General features: G+C 38.2%; 1 protein-coding gene across 18 annotated transcripts in view; it reads right to left on the bottom strand.

The window, feature by feature from the left end:
- Positions 1 to 15,506: 15,506 nt before the first annotated feature.
- KRABD5 (KRAB domain containing 5) overlaps positions 15,507 to 25,278 on the bottom strand; it is a 48,322-nt gene continuing 38,550 nt past the window's right edge. For 9 of the 18 annotated variants that reach the window (NR_172085.1, NM_001394177.1, NM_001394180.1 and 6 more), the window contains 2 exons: positions 23,172 to 23,306; positions 17,186 to 22,617 (listed from right to left, as the gene is read on the bottom strand). Coding sequence is in view for 16 of the 18 variants with exons in the window: in NM_001394177.1 (NP_001381106.1) it covers positions 21,353 to 22,617; positions 23,172 to 23,306 (1,400 nt within the window). In the remaining 2 variants the exon portion in view is untranslated. Of the gene's footprint in view, positions 23,307 to 25,278 lie in introns of all 18 variants that reach the window. The other 9 variants (NM_001394183.1, NM_001394181.1, NM_001394184.1 and 6 more) reach the window with 4 other exon arrangements.

The raw sequence follows: 25,278 nt of genomic DNA, 5'->3' as shown, positions 1-25,278 counted from the left end.
ATCTTTGCCGTGCCTATGTCCTGAATGATATTGCCTAGATTTTCTTCTAGGGTTTTTATACTTTTGGGTTTATATTTAAGTCTTTAATCCATCTTGAGTTAATTTTTGTATAAAGGTGTAAGGAAGAGGTCCAGTTTCAATTTTCTGCATGTGGCTAGCCAGTTTTCCCAGCACTATTTATTAAATAGGTAATCCTATTCCCATTGCTTATTTTTGTCAGGTTTGTCAAAGAACAGATGGTCGTAGATGTGGGGTCAATTTCTAACGTCTCTATTCTGTTCCACTGGTCTATACATCTGTTTTTGTATCAGTATCATGCTGTTTTGGTTTCTGTAACCTTGTTGTATAGTTTTAAATCTGGTAACATGACTCCAGCTTTGTTCTTTTTGCTTAGGATCATCTTGGCTATACAGGCTCTTTTTTGGTTCCATGTGAATTTTATTTTATTTTATTGAGATGGAGTCTCGTTCTGTCGTCCAGGCTGGAGTACAGTGGCACGATCTTGGCTCACTGCAACCTACGCCTCCTGGGTTCACGTGATTCTCCTGCCTCAGCCTCCTGAGTAGCTGGGATTATAGGCACACACCACCACACCTGGCTAATTTTTTGTGTATTTTTAGTAGAGACAAGGTTTCACTATGATGCTGGCCAGACTGGTCTTGAACTCCTGACCTCCTGATCTGCTCACCTCGGCCTCCCAAAGTGCTGAGATTACAGGCATGAGCCACCCCGCCTGGCCAAGGTTTCATGTGAATTTTAAAGCAGTTTTTTTTCTAATTCTGTGAAGAATGTCAATGGTAGTTTAATGGGAATAGCGTTGAATCTATAAATTACTTCAGGCAGAATGGCCTTTTTCACTATACTGATTCTTTCTATCCATGAGCATGGAAAGTTTTTCCATTTCCTTGTGTCCTCTCTGATTTCTTTGAGCAGTGGTTTGTAGTTCTCCTTGAAGAGGTCATTCACTTCCCTTGTTAGCTGTATTCCTAAGTATTTTATTCTCTTTGTAGCAATTGTGAACAGGAGTTAATTCATGATTTGGCTCTCTACTTGTCTATTGTTGGTGTATAGGAATGCTTGTAATTTTTGCACATTCATTTTGTATCCTGAGACTTTGCTGAAGTTGCTTATCAGCTTAAGAAGCTTTTGGGCTGAGATGATGGGGTTTTCTAGATATAGGATCATGTCATCAGCAAACAGAGATGGCTTGACTTCCTCTCTTTTTATTCAAATACGCTTTATTTCCTTATCTTGCCTGATTGCCCTGGCCAGAACTTCCAATACTATGTTGAATAGGAGTTGTGAGAGAGGGCAACCTTGTCTTGTGCTGGTTTTCAAGGGGAATGCTTCCAGCTTTTGCCCATTCAGTATGATCTTAGCTGTGTGTTTGTCATAAATGGCTCTTATTATTTTGAGGTATGCTTCATCAATACCTACTTTACTGAGAGATTTAACTCTTTAAAAGAGTTAAATCTTTTCAAAGATTTAACATCTTTGAAAAGATGTTGAATGTTATCGAAGGCCTTTTCTGCATCTATTGAGGTAATCATGTGGTTTTTGTCTTTAGTTCTGTTTATGTGATGAATTACATTTACTGATTTGCATATGTTGAACCAGCCTTGCGTCCTAGGGATGAAGCTGACTTGATCATGGTGAATAAGCTTTTTGATGTGTGGCTGAATTCAGTTTGCCATATTTTATTAAGGATCTTTGCATCAATATTCATCAGGGATACTGGCCTGAAGTTTCTTTCTTTTTTGTTTTTTCATTGTATCTCTGCCAGGTTTTGGTATCCAGATGATGCTAGCCTCATAAAATGAGTTAGATAAAAGTCCATCCTTTTCAAGTTTTTGGAATAGTTTCAGAAGAAATGGTATGAGCTCCATTTTGTACCTCTGATAGAATTCAGCTGTAAATCCAACTGGTTCTGGGCTTTTTTTGTTTGGTAGGCTATTTATTACTGCCTCAATTTCAGAACTTGTTATTGGTCTATTCAGAAATTCAACTTCTACCAGGTTCAGTCTTGGGAAGCTGTATGTGTCCAGGAATTTATTTATCTATTTCTTCTAAATTTTCTAGTTTATTTGCATAGAAGTGTTTATAGCATTCTCTGATCGTTGTTTGTATTTCTGTGGGGTCAGTGGTAATATCTACTTTATCATTTTTTATTGTGTCTATTGGACTTTTCTCTCTTTTCTTCTTTATTAGTCTAGTTAGTGGTTTGTCTATTTTATTTATTTATTTATTTTTTCGAAAAGCCAGCTCCTGGATTCATTGATTTTTTAGAGTTTTTCATGTCTCTATCTCCTTCAGATCCACTCTGATCTTGGTTATTTCTTGTCTCCTGCTAGCTTTGGGTTTGTTCACTCTTGTATCTCTAGATCTTTTTGTTGTGATGTTAAGCTGTCGATTTGAGATCTTTCTAGCTTTTTGATGTGGGCATTTAGTGCTATAAAATTTTCTATTAACACTGTTTTAGCTGCATCCCAGAGATTCTGGTACCTTGTCTCTTTTTTCTCATTAGTTTCAAAGAACTTGTTGATTTCTGCTTTAACTTCATTATTTACCCAGGAGTCATTCGGGAGCAGGTTGTTCAATTTCCATATAGGTGTGTGAGGTTCCTAATCTTGAGTTCTAATTTGGTTGTGCTGTGGTCTGAGAGACTATTTCTTGTGAGTTCAGTTATTTTGCATTTGATGAGGAGTGTTTTACTTCCAATTATGTAATTGATTTTAGAGTAAGTATCATGTGGCACTGAGAAGAATGTATATGCTATTGTTTTGGGGTGGAAAGTTCTGTAGATATCTATCAGGTCCACTTGATCCAAAGCTGAGTTCAAGTCCTGAATATTCTTGTCAATTTTCTGTCTTGATCTGTCTAATATTGACAGTGGGGTGCTAAAGTCTCCAACTATTATTGTGTGGGAGTTTACATCTCTTTGTAAGTCTCTTAAGAGCTTGTTTTATAAATCTAGGTGCTCCCGTATTGGGTGCATATATATTTCGGATTCTTAGCTCTTCTTGCTGAATTGATTCCTTTATGATTATGTAATGTCCTTCTTTGTCTTCTTTGATCTTTGTTGGTTTGAGGTCTGTTTTGTCAGAAACTAGGATTGCAACCCCTGCTTTTTTCTGCTTTCCATTTGCTTGGTAAATTTTCCTCTATCCCATTATTTTGAGCCTATATGTGTCTTTGCAGGTGAGATGGGTGTCTTGAATACAGCCCACTGATGGATCTTGATTGACTCTATCCAGCTTGCCATTGTGTGTCTTTTAATTGGGGCATTCAGCCCCTTTACACTTAAGGTTAATATTGTTATGTGTGTATTTGATCCTGTCAAATGATGTCAGCTGGTTACTTTGAAGACTTGTTGATATAGGTGCTTCTTAGTGCCATTGGTCTTTGTACTTCTGTGTGTTTTTGCAGTGGCTAATAATAGTTTTTCCTTTCCATATTTAGTGCTTCCTTCAGGAGCTCTTGCAAGACAGGCCTAGTGGTGACAAATTCCCTCAGCATTTGCTTGTCAAAAAAAGATTTTATTTCTCCTTTGCTTATGAAGCTTCATTTGGCTGGATATGAAATTCTCAGCTGAAAATTCTTTTCCTTAAGAATGCTGAATATTGGCCCCCAATCTCTTATGACCTGTGGTGTTTTTGCTGAGATGTTTGCTGTTATTCCAATGGCCTTCCCTTTGTAGGTGACCTGGCCTTTTTCTCTGGCTGCCCTTAACATTTTTTCCTTCATTTTGACCTTGGAGAATCTGATGAGTATGTGTCTTGGGATTGATCTTCTCATAAACGATCTTACTGAGGTTCTCTGGATTTCTTGAATTTGAATGTTGGCTTGTCTTGTTCAGTTGGGGAAGTTCTCCTGGATGATATCCTGAATTATATTTTGCAACTTGGTTCCATTCTCCCTGTCTCTTTCAGGTGTCCCAATTAGTCGTAGGTTTGTTCTTTTTACATAATCCCATAGTTCTTGAAGGTTTTGTTCATCCTTCTCATTCTTTTTTCTCTAACCTTATCTTATTTCAGCAAGACAGTTTTCAAGTTCTGAAATTCTTCCCTCTTCCTGGTCTATTTGGTTAGTGATACTTGTGATACTAGTGATAAATTTTGACATTCTCATGTTGTCCATCAGGTCTTTTATGTTCCTCTCTAAACTGGCTGCTCTGGTTAAGTTCCTTATGTTTTATCATCGTTCTTAGCTTGTTTGCACTGGGTTAGAACATGCCCCTTTATCTCAGCGAAGTTCACTATTACCCACCTTCTGACGCCTACTTCTGTCAATTCATCCATCTCAGCCTTCTCCCTCTTACTGGAGAGGTGTTGTGATCATTTGGAGGAGAAGAGGCCCTCTGGCTTTTTGAGTTTTTAGAGCTTTTTCATTGATTCCTTCTCATCTTCATGAATTTATCTGTCTTCAAACTTTGAAGGTGCTGACCTTTGGATGGGGTTTTTGTGGGGACTTTTTTGTTGATGCTATTGTTGTTGTTGCTTTCTGTTTGTTTTTCTTTTAACAGTCAGGGCCTTCTTCTATAGGGCTGCTGTGGTTTGCTGGGGGTCCACTCCAGACACTATTTGCCTGGATTCCTCCCACACATGGAGGTGTCACCTGTGGAGGCTGCAGAACAGCAAAGATAGCTGCCTGCTCCTTTCTCTGGGATCTCTGTCCCAGAGGGGCACTGATCTGATGCCAGAAGGAACTCTCCTGTATAAGCTGTCTGGCAATTTTTGTTTGGGGGTGTCTCACCCACTCAGGAGGCATGGGATCTGGGACCCACTTAATGAAGCATTCTGGCTGCCCCTTGGCAGAGTCAGTGTGCTGCACTGAGGGGAATCCCACTCATCTGGACTGCTCGAATTCCTCAGAGCAAGCAGGAGGATATGGCTGATCCAAAGAGACTGTGGCTGCCCCTCCCCTCAGGGGTTCAGTCCCAGGGGGATCAGAGTTCTGTCCCTAAACCCCTGGCTGGAGTTCCTAAAATTCCTTTAGGGAGGCCCCTCACCCTCAGTGAGGAGGGTTGGGTCAGGGTCTGGCCTAAAGAGGCAGTCTGGCCACAATCTGCAACAGCTGCTGTGCTGCGCTGTGGGGAATTCCTTCTGGGTCCAAACTGTCCAATCTTCCTGGCACCAGCAGGGGAAAAATGGCAGCCTGGAACCCCTCCCCCCGGGAGCTCAGTCATCTTAGGCAGCAGGCAGCTGCAGTGATAATGGCCACCCCTCTCCTGAGAATTAGGTAGTCTTAGGTAGTCTCCAGCCAAGTGGCTGCTGAAAATCTGTACAGCTCTGTGCTTGGAACCCAAGGCCCTGGTGGTGTGGGCTCATGAGGGGGATCTTTTGATCTGTAGGTTGTACAGATCCATGGAAAAAGCAATGGTTTCCCAGGCAGGATAGAAGGATCAGTCACTGCCTCCCTTGGATGGGGTTGGGCACTCCCCTTGCCCTGTGTGGTTCCCAGGTAAGCCATCGCATCACCCTACTTTTCCTACACAGTTGGTCATGCCAACTGTGTAGTCAGTCCCATTGAGAGAACCTGGATACCTCAGTTGCTGGTGCAGGATTCACTTGCCGTTTTCATTCTTTTCACTGGGAACCTTCAACTGCAGCTGTTTCTAGTCAGCTATCTTGGTCCCTTCCTCCCATGGATAAATTTAACGAAAGAAATGCAAGGACTTTACACTGGAAGATTATCTTATGCTAAAATAAATCCAAGAGCAGAATAAATGAAAAAACTCCAATATTAAATGATAATATTGTAAAGAATACAATACCCCAGAAATTGACCTACAAATTAAATGGAGTCTCTTCAAATTTAAACTATAGCTTCTACAGTTTTTATAGAAATTGACAAAGTTTCTCAAATTTTCCTATATTTCCATAGTTTTTATAGAAATTGACAAGCTTTCTCAAAATCCACATATATATGCAAAGTAAACCAAAGACATAAACACAATCCTTAAAAGGAATAACAAAATTCATCCAGGCATGGTGGCTCACGTCTGTAATCCCAGCACTTTGGGAGGCCGAGGTGGGTGGATCACCTGAGGTCAGGAGTTCAAGACCAGCCTGATCAACATGAAGAAACCCCATCTCTATTAGAAATATAAAATTAGCCTGGCACGACCGCCCATGCCTGTAATCCCAGCTACTCAGGAGGCTGAGGCAGGAGACTTGCTTAAACCTGTGAGGCGGAGGTTGCAGTGAGCCGAGATCACGCCATTGCACTCCAGCCTGGGCAAGAGCAGCAAAACTCCAACTCAAAAAAAAAAAAAAAAAAGGAATAACAAAATTCTATAACTTAAACTCAATAAAACTAATTTTTATTCACTACAAAGTAAAAATAAGCCTGTGGTGGTAGCACAGGGATAGATTCATATAGAACAATGAAATAGGAAGTTTCATTAATAAACTTGCATTTATGGTAAAGTGATTTTAACAAAGGGGCCAAGAAATTTCTGAGGAAAGAAAAGTCTTTTCAACAAATGATACTGGAAAATTGGATATTGGCCTGCAAAATAATGACACTGCACTCCTAACTCAAATCACACATCAAAAAACAAAAAACAAGCCAATCAACCAACAAACAAAAGTTAAAAAGATCATACACTTAAATGTAAGTGCTGAAACTAAAAAATTCTTAGGAGGAATATTAAAGTTTTGCAACCTTGCATTAGGCAATGATATTTTAGATTTTACACCAAAGGACAATCAAAAAGGGAAAACTATACTTCACCAAATTTAAAATGTTTTAAATATAAAACATGAAAATATAAAAATGGAAGCCACTGAGTCAGACAAATCACCCTAGCTGACACTTTGATACAGGATTTTTAGTCTCCATAATTGAGTACATTTTTGTTTCTAAAGCCACCCAGCATGTGATAATCTGGTAATGTGGTATGGCAGCCCCAGCAAACTGATAGTCTATTAAAACACACACAGGATGTCCACTACGGTGTATCTGAGATGACCACAGAATTGAATCATGTCAATCTTCACCAGCATGGAAAGGCTGCACCACTGTGGGAAACAGCCTCCCTCATGGAATATTATGAAGACAAGTGAGGGCACAGGTTCTGACCTGGCAGGGTTATGATGATATGTTTTATAAGATTAAAAGTTATAGACAAATGTTAGAATAGCCTAAACCCCTCCCTTTCCTATATAAACCACCCAATTTAGAGTGATGGTTAAGTTGGAGGTCTGGAAGAATAGTGGAGCTGCCTGCTACATGGAATACTTGGGGCAAGTTGTGAAAACAATAAAAACAGCAACAACATGCAAAGATACTCATGGCCTATTTTAAAGTAAAAACAATGCAAAAGTGTTTTCTCTGATATTTCTGAAGTATGTGAACAGGGACTTTGCACCTAGCCAAGTTGCCACTGGGGACTAATGGAGGCCAGTTTCCTTTGGGAATGGGACTATCGGCCAGTAAATTGGCAAAAGTATAGGACAGAGCCCAGGGAAGTCTGTATATTCAGGTTTAGGCCCTGGGCCCACCCTGGTCATCTCAGGTCCTTGTCTGTGATGAACCTTTTGTGCTCACTCTCATGCTTGCCCAGCAGTGACCATGGTTGGTGATGTGGCGCAAGTATCTTTCTTCCAAGGAGATACAATTGGACCTATCAAACAGCTCTTCACTGATCTCCTGCATGCAATTCTGCAAATAGAGTACCCAGCAAATTGACTGAGAGGTGTTAGTAGCCTGCTTGGCTGTTCCCACAAGGAGATACTCTGATTAAAGTTCTGCATTCTAGATTAGGCACAGAGGAGCATCTCCATGAACCTCCAGCCAGGGCAAAAGCCACATGACAGCTTGAGGTCTCAAAATCAAATCTGAGTAAATAAGCTTAATCCCCAACACTCACCTTCCCATCCTGCCAGCCATGACCTGGGGTATGAACGCAGTAGAGTTCCAGCACCTAACAACCTGCTCCTTCCCAGGAAGAGCCTCACCTCACCTTCTGCTCCCCACCCCTACACACATATATGGTGATGAGGAGAGGGTATGAGGTTGTCCAGATGGGATCTCAAGTGAGGATTGGTCTGGAAAGGGCTACCCTGTGGTTACTTTGGGGTACCTCTTGCCAAATGACCTGAAGCATGGAGGTTGGGGATTGAGAGCTAAGCCAAATTCTGCATCTTTAGAAAAGGCTCTCACTGAAGCAAGAGCTTTGAAAAGTTGGGATACAGCAGAACATCTTGCTCTCTTGACAGTCTCTGGCTAACTAAACTTGATAGGAGACTGTCTTCAGAAATATGAGTGCCTGGTTACCAAAGTTCTAAGTTCTGTTGGGGTCTTTCACCAAGGAAGTGAGGTCACTTCTTCAAGGTTTCATCCTTTTACTAAGACCTACCCATAGGCTCCTCTAGGATGCTGACTGCTCATCTTCCTGCTCCATGTTATTTTATTACCTGCACACAATTATGCAAACACAGACCCCTCTCCCCCAGATTCTGAGAAGACTCAGTGAAGCCAGGATGACAGGTTGAGGAGAGCTAGGTCAGAACCTCCTTTTAATAAATTTATGAGTTATGTCATCCTAGATATGTCATTGTGCTTCTTGGGGGCTCCACAGTCTCCCAACCTGCACAATAGAGATCATGCTAGTTACCCAATTCTAAGAGAACTCATCAGGAGTTACCTAATTCTAAGGGAACTCATCAGGAGCATGTGAAATAATACAATGGTCGTGAGTTGGTATCACATGTAACTAATATAAAAAGAGATGGAAGAATTACATGGGTGGAACAACTCAAACATGCCTGGGTTTTATAAGTTGCGTGTTGGGAAAGTCACTTCCCCTCCTGGTCTCATTTCCCAAGATCCACCATAAGGGAACTGAAATTAAATAAAATTTTGACGATGTCATCCTGAGGCTATAGACCTTCCAACGTCTTCTCATTCTATTTAGAATCAGGTCCTTTTGTCTCACCTTGGCCTCTGTGGTAAGCAGCCTCCATGATGGTTCACGAAGATCCCCATTTCCCAGTATACACATCCTAGTGTAACCAGTAAGTGGTTAGCGACTCACCTCTTGGGAAAAGAATACAACTGAAGCTATGGAATGTCACTTCCTTACTAAAATATTGTCTTTTACCTTTTACTTTCTCTCTCTGGTGCCCTTAATTCCTTCCTTCCTTCCCCTACCCCCTGTGGTGTAGAAGATTGGTCAGGGTGGTGGGGAAAATTATAAGGAAAGATGAAAACCTTCTTGGAAGGCTGGGAGATTTTGCAAAAGCTTCTAAATAAAATTTGGCTGAAGGCAGCCAAATTCCCTTCTCTGGAGCCTGAGAGCAAAGGGTAGATAACAAGGGAATGCAAATGAACTTGTCTAGATAAATTTGTTTACTCCTGTCTCCAGAAACCAACCTTTGATAATTCGTGCACAGGATTGCTCTCTACTTGTGGGTTTGACAATGTTTATTACCCACAAATTGTGTTTGCTCCAAGCCTTTGTCATTAAATCTGTGCTAAATAAATGTGAGCATCACTGGCTTATAGGGCAATAAGCACTCTTGGCTGAGCTGCACTCTCATCGTGGTTCTAAGGAGTATAGTTCCCCTAGTTGCGCTGTCAGGCAAAATACCTGTGTCAGCATACTTCTTTCATCCGTCGCTCAGCCAGTCTGAAGGACAAACTCGGCAGGTTGTGCCCCATGTGAGGAACGCTACAATGGATCATGACAGAAACCTCAAAAATGAAGGTGAAGAGATTGCGCAGTAAGTCATTGGTGCCCCCTTGGGATTTCCAAGTTCGAGGGAATTGTTTAGGCTACGGTTTCATCATGCGACAACAGTTATCAGCTCAACAGCAACAGTATATAAAAGTATTGAAACAGCTGCTTAAAGCTAGTGAAGCCTCAGTTTTGCAGGCTCAATTAAGGGACCTAACGCAACCTGTTGTTTCCCATAACCCATGGTTCCCGGAAGAAGGTATGCTAGACATACAGCTCTGGGAACAAGTGGGTAAAAGTCTTAAACAACATCATGAACAAGGGCAACGGGTCCCAGTAACATCTCTAACATTATGTGCTTTAATTAGGGCTGCTTTGGTCCTGCTCTACACAGAAGAGCCTAAAAGGTAAGGGAGGAGGAACTGTCACCTACCTTACCACCACCTCCTTCTCCCTCAGCCCCACCATTAACAGGCAAAAATACCAAAGAGGAAACAGAGGTTTTTCCTGAGACCCCTCCTCCAATAAATTGGAAAAAGACAAGGGATACACTACAGCTATGGGACCCTGTCTTGGGCAAGTGACATTAGAAGGGGAGCTCTTAAACTGCCCAGTAATGCAAGATCAACAGGCAATCAAGTAACTGAACCCATTTCTTTTGACGCTTATAAAGAGATAAGAAAAAGCACTAAAGAAAATGGAGCTGCTAGCCCATTTATGAAAGGACGAATTGAAGCCATAGCAGACAACTTCTGTATGAGTCCATGGGACTGGTCAGTGCTAGCTAAAAAACCTTTAGAGCCCAGCCAATACCTCCTCTGGAAGGCAGAATATGATGACTTATGTGAACAACAAGCCAACCAGAATCAGTTGGCCAGGCAAGACATAACAACTGCTATGCTCCAGGGTAGGGGTCCCCATGCCAATGTACAACTACATTTTGATACCCAGGCCTATGCACAAATGTCTTTGTGTGCTCTCAGGGCTTGAGACCAAATTCCTGAAAGCAGTGTTCAACAGGGATCTTTCATAATTGTTCCACAAGGGCCTCAGGAGCCATTTGTTAAATTTATCAATCAGTTAACCCAGGCAATTAAGAGATAAATTAGTCATGCCCAGGCCGCTGATATCTTATTGCTGCAACTGGCTTATGAAAATGCTAACGTCGACTGCCAGCAAGCAATGCAGGCAATCAGAGGAAAGGCAGCCACAGTCAGGGAACTTATACAAGCATATAAACTGGTGGGGACTGAAACACACAAAGCCAAAATATTGGCTATGGCATTAAGGCCTCCTAAAGTGAAAAGGGAGAAAAACCCAAATTGTTTTCTATGTGGAAAGCCAGGTCATATTAAGAGGGAATGCCCCAATAATAGAGACCAAGGTAACTCAGGAAAAGAACCCCCTTTTATATGCCCCCAATGTAAAAAGGGGAAACATTGGGCAAATCAATGCAGGTCCAAATTTTAATGCCAGCAGCTTTCCTCGGTCAATGGAAAGCCCACAGTCCTCTCTCTCAGAGCAGCTACCACTGGGAGCACAGGACTGGACTTACTCTGCCCCAACGAATTAGTGCTAAAAGGAGAAGACCCTAAAAGGGTTGCAACCAAGATCTGGGGCCCACTGCCTCTGGGAACAGTGGGAGTAGTCCTAGGGCAATCAAGCCTATCCAGTAAAGGAATTAATGTGCTCACCAGGGTAATTGATAGTGATTATCAAGGTGAGATATTAGTTATGATGGAATGTAAAGGTCTGCATATTCTTCCTCCTGGATCAAAGATAGCTCAGTTACTACTCTTACCATACTGGGTCCCCAACAGCCAGGGAAAGGAAAGGGGAAAGGGAAGTTTTGGAAGCATGGGAGCCACAGGAGTATATGAGAACCAATTAATCACTGATTAGAGACCCATGATTACCTTAAAAATTGGAAATAAAAATTTTACTGGCTTATTGGACACAGGGGTGGATATTTCAATCATTAGTGATCAAAACTGGCCAGAAACGTGGGCTTGGGTCACTCAGAAACAAAAAATTGTCATCATCGGGGAAGTGCACACAGCCAAGTAGAGCACACGCCCCCTAACATGTTGCAATTTGGAGGGAAGAAAGGCAGTTATACAGCCTCTAGTCATGCCCATCCCTGTTAATCTTTGGGGATGGGACCTATTAGCCCAATGGGGGGGTCACTCTGCAGACCCCTTTCTAATAATGGCCACTGTTATTATCCCTCCCCTACCCCTGATGTGGCTCTCTCAAGATCCAATTTGGATAGAACAGTGGCCTTTAAAGGGAGAGAAATTATTGTGGTTTTGATTTGCATTTCTCTGATGGCCACTGATGGTGAGCATTTTTTCATGTGTTTTTTGGCTGCATAAATATCTTCTTTTGAGAAGTGTCTGTTCATGTCCTTTGCCCACTTTTTGATGGGGTTGTTTGTTTTTTTCTTGTAAATTTGTTTGAGTTCATTGTAGATTCTGGATATTAGCCCTTTGTCAGATGAGTAGGTTGCAAAAATTTTCTCCCATTTTTTAGGTTGCCTGTTCACTCTGGTGGTAGTTTCTTTTGCTGTGCAGAAGCTCTTTAGTTTAATTAGATCCCATTTGTCAATTTTGTCTTTTGTTGCCATTGCTTTTGGTGTTTTAGACATGAAGTCCTTGCCCATGCCTATGTCCTTAACGGTAATGCCTAGGTTTTCTTCTAGGGTTTTTATGGTTTTAGGTCTAACCTTTAAGTCTTTAATCCATCTTGAATTGATTTTTGTATAAGGTGTAAGGAAGGGATCCAGCAAAACCTGTTTTCTATCCTAAAGGGCAATACAGCCCTAGACTCTCCCAGGTATTTAACTCCTGCAGCAAAAAGGGAAATTGAGGAAATAGAGCAAGCTATTTCTCAGAGGCAACTAGATTGCATAGACCCAAAACATTCAGTTAAATTGTTTGTTTTTCCTACTAAACATTCCCCAACAGGATAGCTCCAGGGCTATGCTTCCTAGAATGGATTTTTTGCTCACATACTGGGACTAAAACACTATCTCCCTATATCCAGCTAGTTAGTAAAGTCATCTATACATGCCATAGATGACGCAATCAGTTGCTAGGTTATGACCCTGATGTCATAAGAATTCCTTTGAGTAAAAAGCAATTCGAGGGAGTATTGCCCCTATCTCTAGATCTTCAGATAGCACTCTCTGATTATGCAGGTCATATAGAGCATGCCCTTCCTGCTGACAAACTACTTCAATTCTTATCTAATACTCCAGTAATTGTGCCTACAAAAGTAGTTCACTCCCCCCATAACTAACACTTTAACGCTTTTTACTGACAGCTCTGGTAAAAATGGAAAAGCGGCTGTGTGGTGGAGACCATATAATTCCCTAACTCGTTCTGGATTTACTAGCACTCAGAGAGCTGAGGTTGCAGCCATAATAGTGGCCCTGGAGACCTTTTCTGCTCAGCCCATGAATATTGTTACTGACTCTGCTTACTCTATTGCAGAACCTTGAAACAGCCCTCATTAAGTCTACTCTCAAGCCCACCCTGTGTGCACATTTTCTTTGACTTCAGCAATTGCTGGATCAACGTACACATCCTATTTTTATCACACATATTCGAGCCCACAGCTCACTGCCTGACCCACTGGTTTATGGCAATAATCAGTCATGACCTGCAAGTCATGATGTCACTGCTTGACCAAGCCACCAAATCACATCAATTGTTCCACCAAAGTTGGAGGAAGTTAACTAAACAATTTCAACTTACTCAAAGACTAGCTAAACATATTACCCTGCAATGCCCAGATTGCCAGCTCACAGGCATGTCCTCTCCTTCAACAGGTGTTAACCCTAGAAAACTAGAACCTAATCAGTTATGGCAAACAGATGTTACACACATCCCCGAATGTGGAAAACTAAGATATGTACTTGTATCCATTGATACCAATTCTCAGCTAATTAGCGCACATGCTCTTCCTGGAGACTCCATCCGATATGTTACTAAACCTCTTCTGTTAGCTTTTGCATTTATGGGGCAGCTCACAAAAATTAAAACTGATAATGGTCTGGCTTATGCCAGCTCACAATTTCAACAATTTTCTCACACATGGAACATCCAACATTCCACAGGCCTCCCGTATAACCCCCAAGGGCAGGCCATAGTAGAATGTGTCCATTCCACTCTCAAAAATATGCTCAGAAAACAAAAAGGGGAATATGAGTAAAGACCCTGCAACACTACTAGCATAAGCTAAAGGGTAAAATTCTTTACCCATAATTTTTTAAATTTAAATGATAAATTTCAATCAGCTATAGAAAAGCTTCCTCTGTTTTAGGGTTGAGAATATGACTAAAACTTCATTGAGTCAAAAAAGCTATTATATCTAACGAAAAACAATGAAGCATACCATTTGACATTGAATTTTATCAACATGACACATTAGCCTACCTTCTCTTTTTAATAAATATTTAGAGAGGACAGAAAAATAAATGTGAATAACATACACAAAATAATTTAGTAAATGCAGAATGGTATGAACAAATAGAAATTTGAGGAAGCAGAGTGGTTAGTATGTATTAGCCCCTACAATGTGTTAGGGATTATTCTAAGCCAATTACACGTGGACTTAATACCTGAAATGTATAATACAGAAATTCATGAAAAATGACAAACTAAGCCATTTACAATCCCGTTAGGTAAAATTAAGACCATCACAGAAATAAAATGTTTTGGTATACAGTAACTAAATGAACATAAACATGCTAAATATAGTTTCACTAATTAGGTAGAGACAAATGTGTAGCATTTTTCACCAGTAAAGAGAAGATACACATTATATTCTAGTACCAGAGGTGAAAAAAACTGAATGGCAAAGTGTAGGCCTAACAATGACATGAATTTTATGATAGCAGAAATTCAAGAGGTCACTATTTTCAAGGCAACTAAAATGACACTAGAAATTATAAATTGTAACCAACAAGTACTATCTAGCCACACACAAATTTCCCTTGTCTCTTTTAATTAGTTTATAGAACAAGTAGAAATCCAAACAGATTCTTTTGTAAATTCAGAAACATGCTAAAAAGGAAGCAGAGTGATTAAAGCCAAAAGACCTGAATTCAGGTACATAATTTTATCAATATTATTTTAATATTATAGAGAAACAGTAATTCTGGCTGTATCTAGATCAGTTCTGTTCATTGGCATGAAGTATATCGTTTCGGAAATGTGCAAAAAACAAAATTTTAAGTATCAAAAAACTACTGTTTACAAATTACTATTACCACATGGTATATTCGAGAGGAATGTTCTGAATGAAGAAACGGGATATCTCATAAGATTCTGCTGTATGCTGCACAATGTCTATTGAAATATTTTACTCATGTACACTGTGGATATTTGTGCTTTTAGGAAAAATGCTATATATTATTAAATATTTTAATATAGACAACTAAAAAAATCCTCAAGAAGTTACAAGAACCTTTAAGTTGCTGAATGGAGTTAAAGGAAAATATAAGAACTTCACAGGAGCAGAAGTAAATCAAGATAATGATCCAGAGTAGTCAAACTAAGAAAAAAAATGCTCCCTTCAGATACTGACTCATCACAAGGATGTCAAATCTATGTGTGTTTTTCATCTTGTTCCCAGGGAAAATGAAAGAAACACTGGAAATAATATGACTATAGACACCTCAAATATGGTATCTCCCAAAAGTGAGAACCAAAGGAAAAACTGAGTGACATAACAAGGAAGAAATTTCTGAAGAAAAAATATGCAACAGTTTTGCACATTGGAATTATATTTAAAATGTTTAAATGAATACAATGAAAAGTAGAAAATCAATGTTTATTTTTGTAGAAAGAACAAGTAACTGAAGTTTAAAAGCCACATTTGAACGACAGCCCAATAGAATACGAAAATACAAAATTAAGTTACCAGACAATGTATAGGTTCACCACTAAATTAAACAGAGATAAGAGGACCGGTGAACTAGAATACTGAGCAGAATGAATACAGCAAAATACAGTAGAAATAAAATATCATAAAATTTTAATTTTAATTAAAGTCTAGAATGAGGAGCAAAACATGCCTAATTGTTTCACTAGAACAGTAAGTATGAATTGGCCACAGCAAATAAGGCCAGTCAGATCCAAGGACTGGAAAAACAGAATCTTTCCCTCCATGGGAGTAGCTAAAAACATGCATTGCAAAGGGCATGGATACAGAGAGGAATGAATTGTTCCCATTACTGCAATCAGTATCATTGTGCTTTGTCTTGCATAACTGTTCCAAGTCAAGTAACTAGTCTATTAAGAGGCTGGGATGGGACTCAGGGTCAACTCTGCCTGACTCCAAAGCCCATGAACTCCATGGGCCCTTGAGGTTCTGGAGAGTGCCACTTCTGCGACAGAAGTAGGATTCCTTAGACATTCTCATCCATCTATTATTCTTCACTACTGGGAATAATCTCCTTTGGACAATGCTTCTGAAGCAACTTGGAAGGTCTTCAAATAATTTGAGAAAGTGACTGAGGGCTGAGTTTAGGAAATCAAGGCCCAACATTACTCATTTCTTATCATCAGAGAAACTGGAAAGCACATAAGAACACACTCCACATGTTTGCAAATTCTCACATTTGCAAATTCTTTTCATTTTAGTATTTTCAGATTTAGTATTTGAAAACAGATTAAATCAAATTACTGTGCCTGAAATAACCTCTTACTCTAAAAGCAAGTGACATAAAAAATAGATCTGTAGAGAGACATTTCCTCCTGCTGCAATTTCCAAGACTCCAAATGCAGGAGTGGTCATAGGTTAAATACTTGCAGCACACATGGAAATCACACACAGCTAATGCATCCCTCACCCTGAAACAGTGGGTCTCACCCCTGGCTCCACATTACAGTCACATGCGGAGGCCCTACAATTCCCAAAACCTAAATTGCAACAGACCAATAAAATCAAAATCCCTGGAGTAGGGCCCAGACGTCAGTATTGTTTAAAGTTCTCCAAGTGATTACAGAGTTTAGCCAAGTCCCCAAAGTACTGCTTCAAGCCAAAATTTTTTGGTGTACTAGTTGCAAATTGTCTCTTGAATGAATGTAAAATGTTTACTCCTGAGTTGCAGCCTTTCAGTCATACCTGTATTATCTACTCACCTTTGCAGGAACTGACCTTTGCTACTCCTTTTGTTCCTGATCAACATGCTCCACATGTACTGAGTGCATACTATGCCCAGGGTCCTGTGCTAGGTGTCCTGGCTTTCAGAGCATCACTGTGGGGAAAAGACTTTGCTGGGAAAAAGTTTCATCTCAAAAAATCAAAAGCATGCCACTTAGCAAATGAAGGCAAAAATGGAAAGACCCAAGAGGTGCCCATGAGATTAGGACGTTGATACTTTAGAATATTCAAACCCATCTGCTAATGCCATGAGATTGTGTTCCACTTTACAACAAAAGAAAATGCTGCTAACATTCTGAGATAGTGAGTTAGGATTCTGGTGCAAATATGTAATATTTAATTTTTTATTGATATACCACATTACATACAGAAACATTCATGTAAAGCTTTTTGGATTATAACAGATAATTTACATAACTGAGGAATAGAACCAGCTTTACTCCTACCCAGAAAATAAATTTCTCCCTCCCTCCCTGTCCAAAGGTAAACAAGATCCTGAGCTAACATTGTAAACGAATATTGTACATTTATACAAATGCTATTAAAGACATAAAAATAAAATATATAGACCTGCCCCCAGCTTCAACTACTAATCATGTACCACTTCTGCTTCATCTATACTTCAACCCTTTCCCTACCCCCACCCATTTAATTTTTTTAAGATTTTTTTTGTGAAGATGTACATACATTGCAAGGCATAAACCTTAACTGTACATGTTAGACAAATAAATAGACCCATATAAACTTCACCCCTTTTCGAAGCAACACTTTCATCACCCTCAGAAAATTCACTTGTCTTTGGTCCTTTTTCTCAAGCAGAGATTATCTTGTTGATTTTTTTCACCATAGGATTATTTTGCCTGGAATAAAATACAAAATACATAAAGTACAATTTTGTGTCCAACTTTTCTCTCATTGAGCAGGTTTATGAATTTTATCCAGGATGTGTGCTTGGTTTTTCATATTCCTGAGCTGTATTTTGTTCTAAAAGCTATACAATTAGTTCATTTTCTTATTAATGGACATTTTGGTTGTTTCCTGTTTTGGGCTATTATGACTAAAAGATACATAAATATTGTGCAAATAAATATTTTATAATTATCTCCTTTTTTAGCATTTACATTACACTTCTTTGCATTTTTTAGTGGTTGCTGCAGGGAATACAATATGAATCTTTAACATATCCACCATACTTTTAGAGTTAATACTATACTGTCTTAAATATAAAACATGAAAAATTTGCTACAGAACAGTTCCATTTATCTTCTTATTCCATGTGTTATAAATTTTACAACTACAAATTATAAATCCTACAATACAGTGTTATAATTTGTTTCAAATAGTCACAAGTCTAAGAAATTAAGAAAAAATTGTATTAATAAATATTAGATGGTAGATACTTAAAATATGCAAATACACTTTTCTTTTCTTTTTTTTTTTTTGAGACAGAGTTCTGCTCTTGTCGCCCAGGCTGGAGTGCAATGGCATGATCTTGGCTCAAAACAACTTCTGCTTCCCAGGTTCAAGTGACTCTCCTGCTTCAGCCTCCCAAGTAGCTGGGATTATAGGTACCCACCACCATGCCCGACTAATTTTTTCATTTTTAATAGAGACGGGGTTTCACCATGTTGGCTAGGCTGGTCTTGAACTCCTGACCTCAGGTGATCCACCCGCAGAGGCCTCCCAAAGTGCTAGGATTACAGGCATGTGCCACCGAGACTGGCCCAAATACACTCTTTAGTGTTTAAGTTTTTCCTGAAATTTTTGAATTCCTCGGGGAATCTTCCCTATGGTAATTATTACTGTGATGTTCTAGTGTTGATTTATTTTGCATTATCCAACTACATTGATCTGTATTTTAAATATTGTAGATTTCATTCCTTCTTTCCTTATTTAATCTCTTTTATTCACACAGTAGAGATGAGTATTACTTTATTCTGTGGGCCATAATCCAAAGCTATCATAACTTATTGCTCATATTGTTGGAGCTTGGACCATTGGGAGGTCTTTCAGGTTGGCTCCCTTTGAAAAGTCCCCATCATTTTTATTAAGCACTTTTTTCTTTGTGGCTTTACAAGATACTCTAGCTCAACTTGTATTTTCTAACTTCAACCCTTGGGTCCTTTTAATGAATGTTGTTTAGAAACCAAGATTGTAGACCTAGATGTGTTGATACAAGATGTCACCAGTTCTTGGCCCTCAAGAGTTTGGAACATTATCTATCTCTGAATCGTCTATCTATGTATCTATCTATCTATCTATCTATCTAACTATCCATCCATCCATCCATCCATCCTTCCAGATATCTTAGACATCGCTTCATCTATCTATCTATCTATCTATCTATCTATCTATCTATCTATCTACCTACCTACCTACCTACCTACCTATCTTTATATCTATTCATCCATCCATCCATCCAGATGTATTAGTCATGGGTTCATCCTGATATTTCCAACTTTGGGCTAGGACCACAAGATTCATGCTAGCATTCACCATTTAACTTTTGTGAACTACACTGAGAAACAGCCTCCATATATTATATAATAACATGTAAAACTGTTTCAGAATTGCTAATGCATATCCTTGTAGGAAAATAAAATATTACTCAGTAGAATACAGCATTTGTGTAGTCTTACAGCATTCAATCAAAATACTGTTTTTCAAAGTGACTTAGATGCAGACCTTTTATCCCCATCCTCCTCAGTAGGGTTATGTCTATAGGTAGATGACAGATAATTTGTTTGTTTATAGACAGAGTCTCACTCTGTTACCCAGGCTGGAGTGTGAGGCACAAACTTGGCTCACTGTAACCTTCATCTCCTCAGTTCAAGCAACTCTCCTGCCTTTGCCTCCTGAGTAACTGGGATTACAGGTGTGTGCCACCACATCCAGCTAATTTTTGTATTTTCAGTAGAGACGAGATATCACCATGTTGGCCAGGCTGGTCTCAAACTCCTGACCTCAAATGATCCTCCTGCCTCAGCCTCCCGAAATGCTGGGATTACCGGCGTGAGCCACCACACCTGGACAGCACCATTAAATTTTACAAAAACATTCTTAAAATCCATGAGAACTTATAAGTAATAGTTTATAAGCTTTGAAATAAGAAAATTATATAATTCTTCTCACATGAATCACAGGCAAGAAAAAAGGATTTGTACGGGATAAAGTCTGAACCCAGAAGACATTAGATTTATCAGAGAAAAATTCAGTGTGCAATGAAAAGCTAATTTAGCTTTAAGAATTTGGGAGGTTTCTAATTTGAGAACTGTAATAAATCAACAGTTCTCCAGTTTCCTGTTGTGATCCATCATTTTCTTTTCCATTTGAAGACAGGTACACACACATGCATTTCTGCCTGTATAGTTCTCTTTCACCTTTTTCTTTCTATCTTAGTACATCTGTATATTCCATTTAATGCAAGTGAAAGCAAAGAAAAATCTCTAAGTGTTCAATTGGACTGAAAAAGGGCATGTGCAAAGAAAAATATTGAATAAAACTTTATAAACAATGATTCAGGATTTTAAAAGTATGGCATTTAAGTATACCCCCATATAATCTTTATTATAACTGTCATAGTACACCAGTAGCTACAAAAAGCAGGAAAGAATATAAAATAGTAACCATGAGAATATTACCAATATTATTAGAAGTTTAAGTTCTCTGGAAAATTGATATAAAGTATATTTATAATCTTTCAGATATGAGTTTTCACTTTTCTCTGATATCTGTGAAGATGTTTTTATTTTTAACACATCAAATAATATTCAAGATTACTACTTCATTGTACTATAAAGGTATGCCAGTATTTTAAATAACTGACCAGTGTTTTTCTACTTAAGGAGCAATTGATGTAATAAATAAATTCAGAATATTCCTCTTTTACTTTAGTATAGAATACTAATGCCCTAAATATGTACTATATGTTTACACATATTACTGTTTAATGATTCAAACACAAAGAGCCTCTTTTAGATTTTCTTCATGTATTTTACATTTGCCATTAAATTTCCAAGAAAATAAGTTGATATTAATGATGTTCACCTACTATAGAACGACCTCTTACAGCTCTGATGCAGAAAAAATAGACTATATGTTTTTATATAAACACTAGGCATTAAGGTATAACAACTAATCTGAGAATTAAATTATGATTTGCTTTATACAAATTTCAAATGTTTTCAATACAAATAACATGCTCACTGAATAATTACTTGTCCAAACATCAATGCTTTTGCTCATTTGAAACACATAACAAAATAAGTAACTGCTTTGGCTTTAGAGTAATCCTCCATAACAAATACTCTTATTTAATTTTAAAGTGGGGATCTGTGCTTTAGTCCTTTTTTGTGTAAGTCCTGACACATTCAGATTTGAGTTCTGATTAAATACTTCCTCCCATTTATTCAATCTGTAAAGTCGGTTTCCCTATAAACTCTATGGTGATTTTTAAGTTCTAAATTTTGGATAAAACTCTTTTCACATTTACTACAACTATAGAAATTCTCTAGTATGAATACTTTTATGTCGAGTAAGGGTTGAGCATCGATTAAATAATTTGCCACATTCTTTACATTTGTAGGGTTTCTCTCCAGTATGAATCATCTGATGTCGTCTAAGGTTTGAAGACCGGTTAAAGGAGATGCCACAATCCTTACATATATATGGTTTCATTCCAGTATGAGTTATCTGATGCACAGAAAGACATGAGGAATGAGAGAAAGATTTGCTACATGCTTTACATTTGTAAAGTTTTACTCCAGTATGAATTCTCTGATGTTTAGTAAGGGATGAACTACAGTTAAAGGCTTTGCCACATTCTTTACATATGTAGGGTTTCTCTCCGGTATGAATTCTTTGATGTTGAGTAAGGCGTGAACTACAATTAAAGGCTTTGCCACATTCTTTGCATTTATAGGGTTTTTCTCCAGTATGAATTCTCTGGTGGACAATAAGACTTGAGGAACGAGAAAAAGATTTGCTACATGATTTACATTTGTAAAGTTTTTCTCCGGTATGAATTCTCTGATGTTTAGTTAGGTACGACCTACAGTTAAAGGCTTTGCTGCATTCCTTACATTTATAGGGTTTCTCTCCAGTATGAATTCTCTCATGCTGAGTAAGGGCTGAAGACACTTTAAATGATTTACCACATTCTTTACATTTGTAAGGTTTCTCTCCAGTATGAATTCTCTGATGCACAAGAAGATTTGAAGAATGAGTAAAACATTTGCTACACGCTTTACATTTGTAAAGTTTTTCTCCAGTGTGAATTCTCTGATGTCTAGTAAAATATGAACTAGAATTGAAGGCTTTGCCACATTCTTTACATTTGTATGGTTTCTCTCCAGTATGAATTATTTGATGTTGAGTAAGGTGTGAACGATGGTTAAAGGCTTTGTCACATTCTTTACATTTGTAAGGTTTCTCTTCATTATGGATTATCTTATGTTTTCTTAGACTTGACAATTTACTAAGGATTTTCTCACCATTATTACATCTGTGTGACTTTTCTCCAATATGGATTCTCTGAGGCTGAGTATGTTTTGATGACTGGATAAAAGTTTCTATACACTTATTACATTTGGCAGACTTCTCTTGAATAAAGATACTCTGATGGACATGGTTGGTGCATTCATGAAAGGCTTTCTCACATTTTTTACGTTTGCAATGGTTATGTAGAAAATGAGTTTTCTGATGTCTTCTGGGGCTTATGCCTTGGCTTAATGTTGTATCAGATTTATTGTACTGATTTTTCTCTGCAACACAAATATACTGGTAATTATTTAGGGTATAGTCCTGCCTAAAGGCTGTCAAAGTTTTATTATGTGTGTGATATTTTCCCAAATTATCTATTCCTTGACATTGATTAAGCAATGATGAATGAATGAAGACCTTTCTATATTGATCACAGGCAGAACGAGGTGTTATTTGTTGGTGAAACAAACTTTTAACAAAGATCCATCAAATTGATCATATTTAGAAATCACCTCCTCGTTTTTAAATCTCTCCTTTTCAGAAATATTTGACTGAACATTTACTCCAGTTCTATATTTTAATTGGTTTAAATGATTATTTGAAACATGGACTAAGTCACTATTCGGATTATCCAAATTTCCTTTAAAAGAAAAGGTAAGTTTCAAAAATTGATGTTGACACTTACTTACAGAAACACATGGTTTAGAAAAAGCAACTGACATAAATTGAGTTTTTTCATGTTTTTGACCTCCTGTAACAGTGAGGTTTTTGTTATAGGTAGTTGTCTTACATTTTGTATGTCCATCATAATATCCATTGTGACCTTCACACTTACCCTCACTTTCCCACTCTTTCCTTAAGTTTAAATTCTGAGGGCCACAGCTCCCATATCCATCCAATATCACTTTTTGGAATGATGCTTCTATAAGCTTCTTTCTTAAGAGGCCTTGAGTATCATGAGAAAAGATATCTGAAAGATACCAAAAGTTTTCAAAATTCCAATTACTAAATTCAGGTGAAAATACTTTATAAATCTAATACACAAATTATATCACGTTGAGAACACCATGATAGTTGAATCAAAAACTTGAGGCCCCTTTGTTTTCTCAATTGATATATGAACTTAAATGTAATAGGGTGACTAAAGCCAGGTGAGTTTGCAGCACCTAGGTGAACACAAAGCCAAGAATGGTCACATATAGAAGGAAGAAAGTTTGTTGTATTTGTGCACCACAGCACAGTGCAGTTACACAAAAATTTTTCGCATTCTGTTTCGCTCTCAGGAAAGAAAAATAAAAGGAGCAAAACATATGTCCAAAGTTCTGGGTTATTCTGGGGCTATCTAAAGACTGGCCATTGCTTCCTTTAATATGTGGTGCTGAAGAAAATGGTGATATAGTTGAAATGATATGTCGGGTCAACTGAGAACAAACATGAATGCTTGTTACAAGAACAGAGAGACAGTAGTGCCTATGACACTCAACAAAGGGGGAGATTAAAGGCTCCTAAGAGAAAAAGAAAAAAGCAAACCTTTTTAATAGGAAAATACACACAGTAGTCCAGAGAAGAAACATCCTGACAACAGTATGAAGAATCTCCCAGAATGACTAGAGTACCTGATGGGTATCAGTTTTCACATGTACAAATTCATTCCATAATAGATGGAATAGGTAGCTGTCTCTTACTTGATCAAAATATCAACAAAATCACAAGACATCAAAGTAACCAAAACACATGGCTCAATAAAGGGACCAAAATGAAAGTGAATCTAAAGAAGCAGAAATCTATTAACTAACATATTAATATCCAAGTGAAGCTAGAGAAGTAGAAATCTATTAACTAATTTTAAAATAATTTAAAATATCTATCTTTGTCTTATAGACAAGGTCTTGCACTGTCACCAGGCCAGAGTACAATCATAGCTCACTGGAACCTCGAATTCCTGGCCTAAAGCAGTCACCCTACCTCACTTCCCCAAGTGGCTATGACTACAAAAACACACCATCACATCTGAATAATTTTTTAAGTTCTTTGTACAACCAGGGTCTTGCTAGGTCATTTAGGCTGGTCAAAAATTCCTGGCCTCAAGGAATACTATAGCCTCAGATTCTCAAAGTGCTGGGATGAAACCAGCAACTGAACCTGGCATTTTGTGACTTCTTTAAGAAATGAGAATATTAACCCAACAACCATACAAAAGCACAAGGATGTATTCCATAATGATAAAGGGTTCAATTCAACAAGAATACCTACACATGCTAAACACCTATGCACCAAACTTCGGAGCACCGAGATTCATAAAACAAGTGCTTCTAGTCCTGAGAAAAGAATTAGTCACATAATAACAGTGAGGTATTTCAACATCCCATGGACATCATTAGATCCCTGAGGCAGAAAATTCACAAAGAAATTTTAGACATCAATTCCACATAACCTAATAGGCATCTACAGAATAGACCAACTGGACCTAATAGACATCTACAGAATATTCCACCCATCAACCACAGAACACATACATCCTTCATATGCACACAGGACATACTTGAAGATTGACCCTATACACTCAGCCAGAAAGCAAGTCTCAATAAATTAAAAAGAAAAAAATCATACCAGTCATACTTTTGGACTAAAATAGAATAAAAACAGAAAACAATACCAAGAAGATCTCTCAAAACCACAGAAATGCATAGAAATTAAACAACTGGCTCCTCAACAACTTTTGAGTAAACAATGATATCAAGGCAGAAATTTAAAAGTTCTTTGAAATAAGTGAAAACAGAGAAAACACATACCAAAATCTTTGGGACACAGCTAAAGCCACATTAAAAGAAGCTTATAACACGAAATGCCTATTTCAAGAAGTCAGATCTCAAATTAATGATATAACATCACTTGTAAAGAAACTAGAAAAAGAAAAATAAGCTGAGCACAAATGTAGAAGA

The sequence above is a fragment of the Homo sapiens genome, chromosome 16, assembly GCF_000001405.40.
Source record: "Homo sapiens chromosome 16, GRCh38.p14 Primary Assembly".
Lineage (NCBI taxonomy): Eukaryota > Metazoa > Chordata > Mammalia > Primates > Hominidae > Homo > Homo sapiens.
This window is presented reverse-complemented; position numbering and strand designations above follow the sequence as displayed.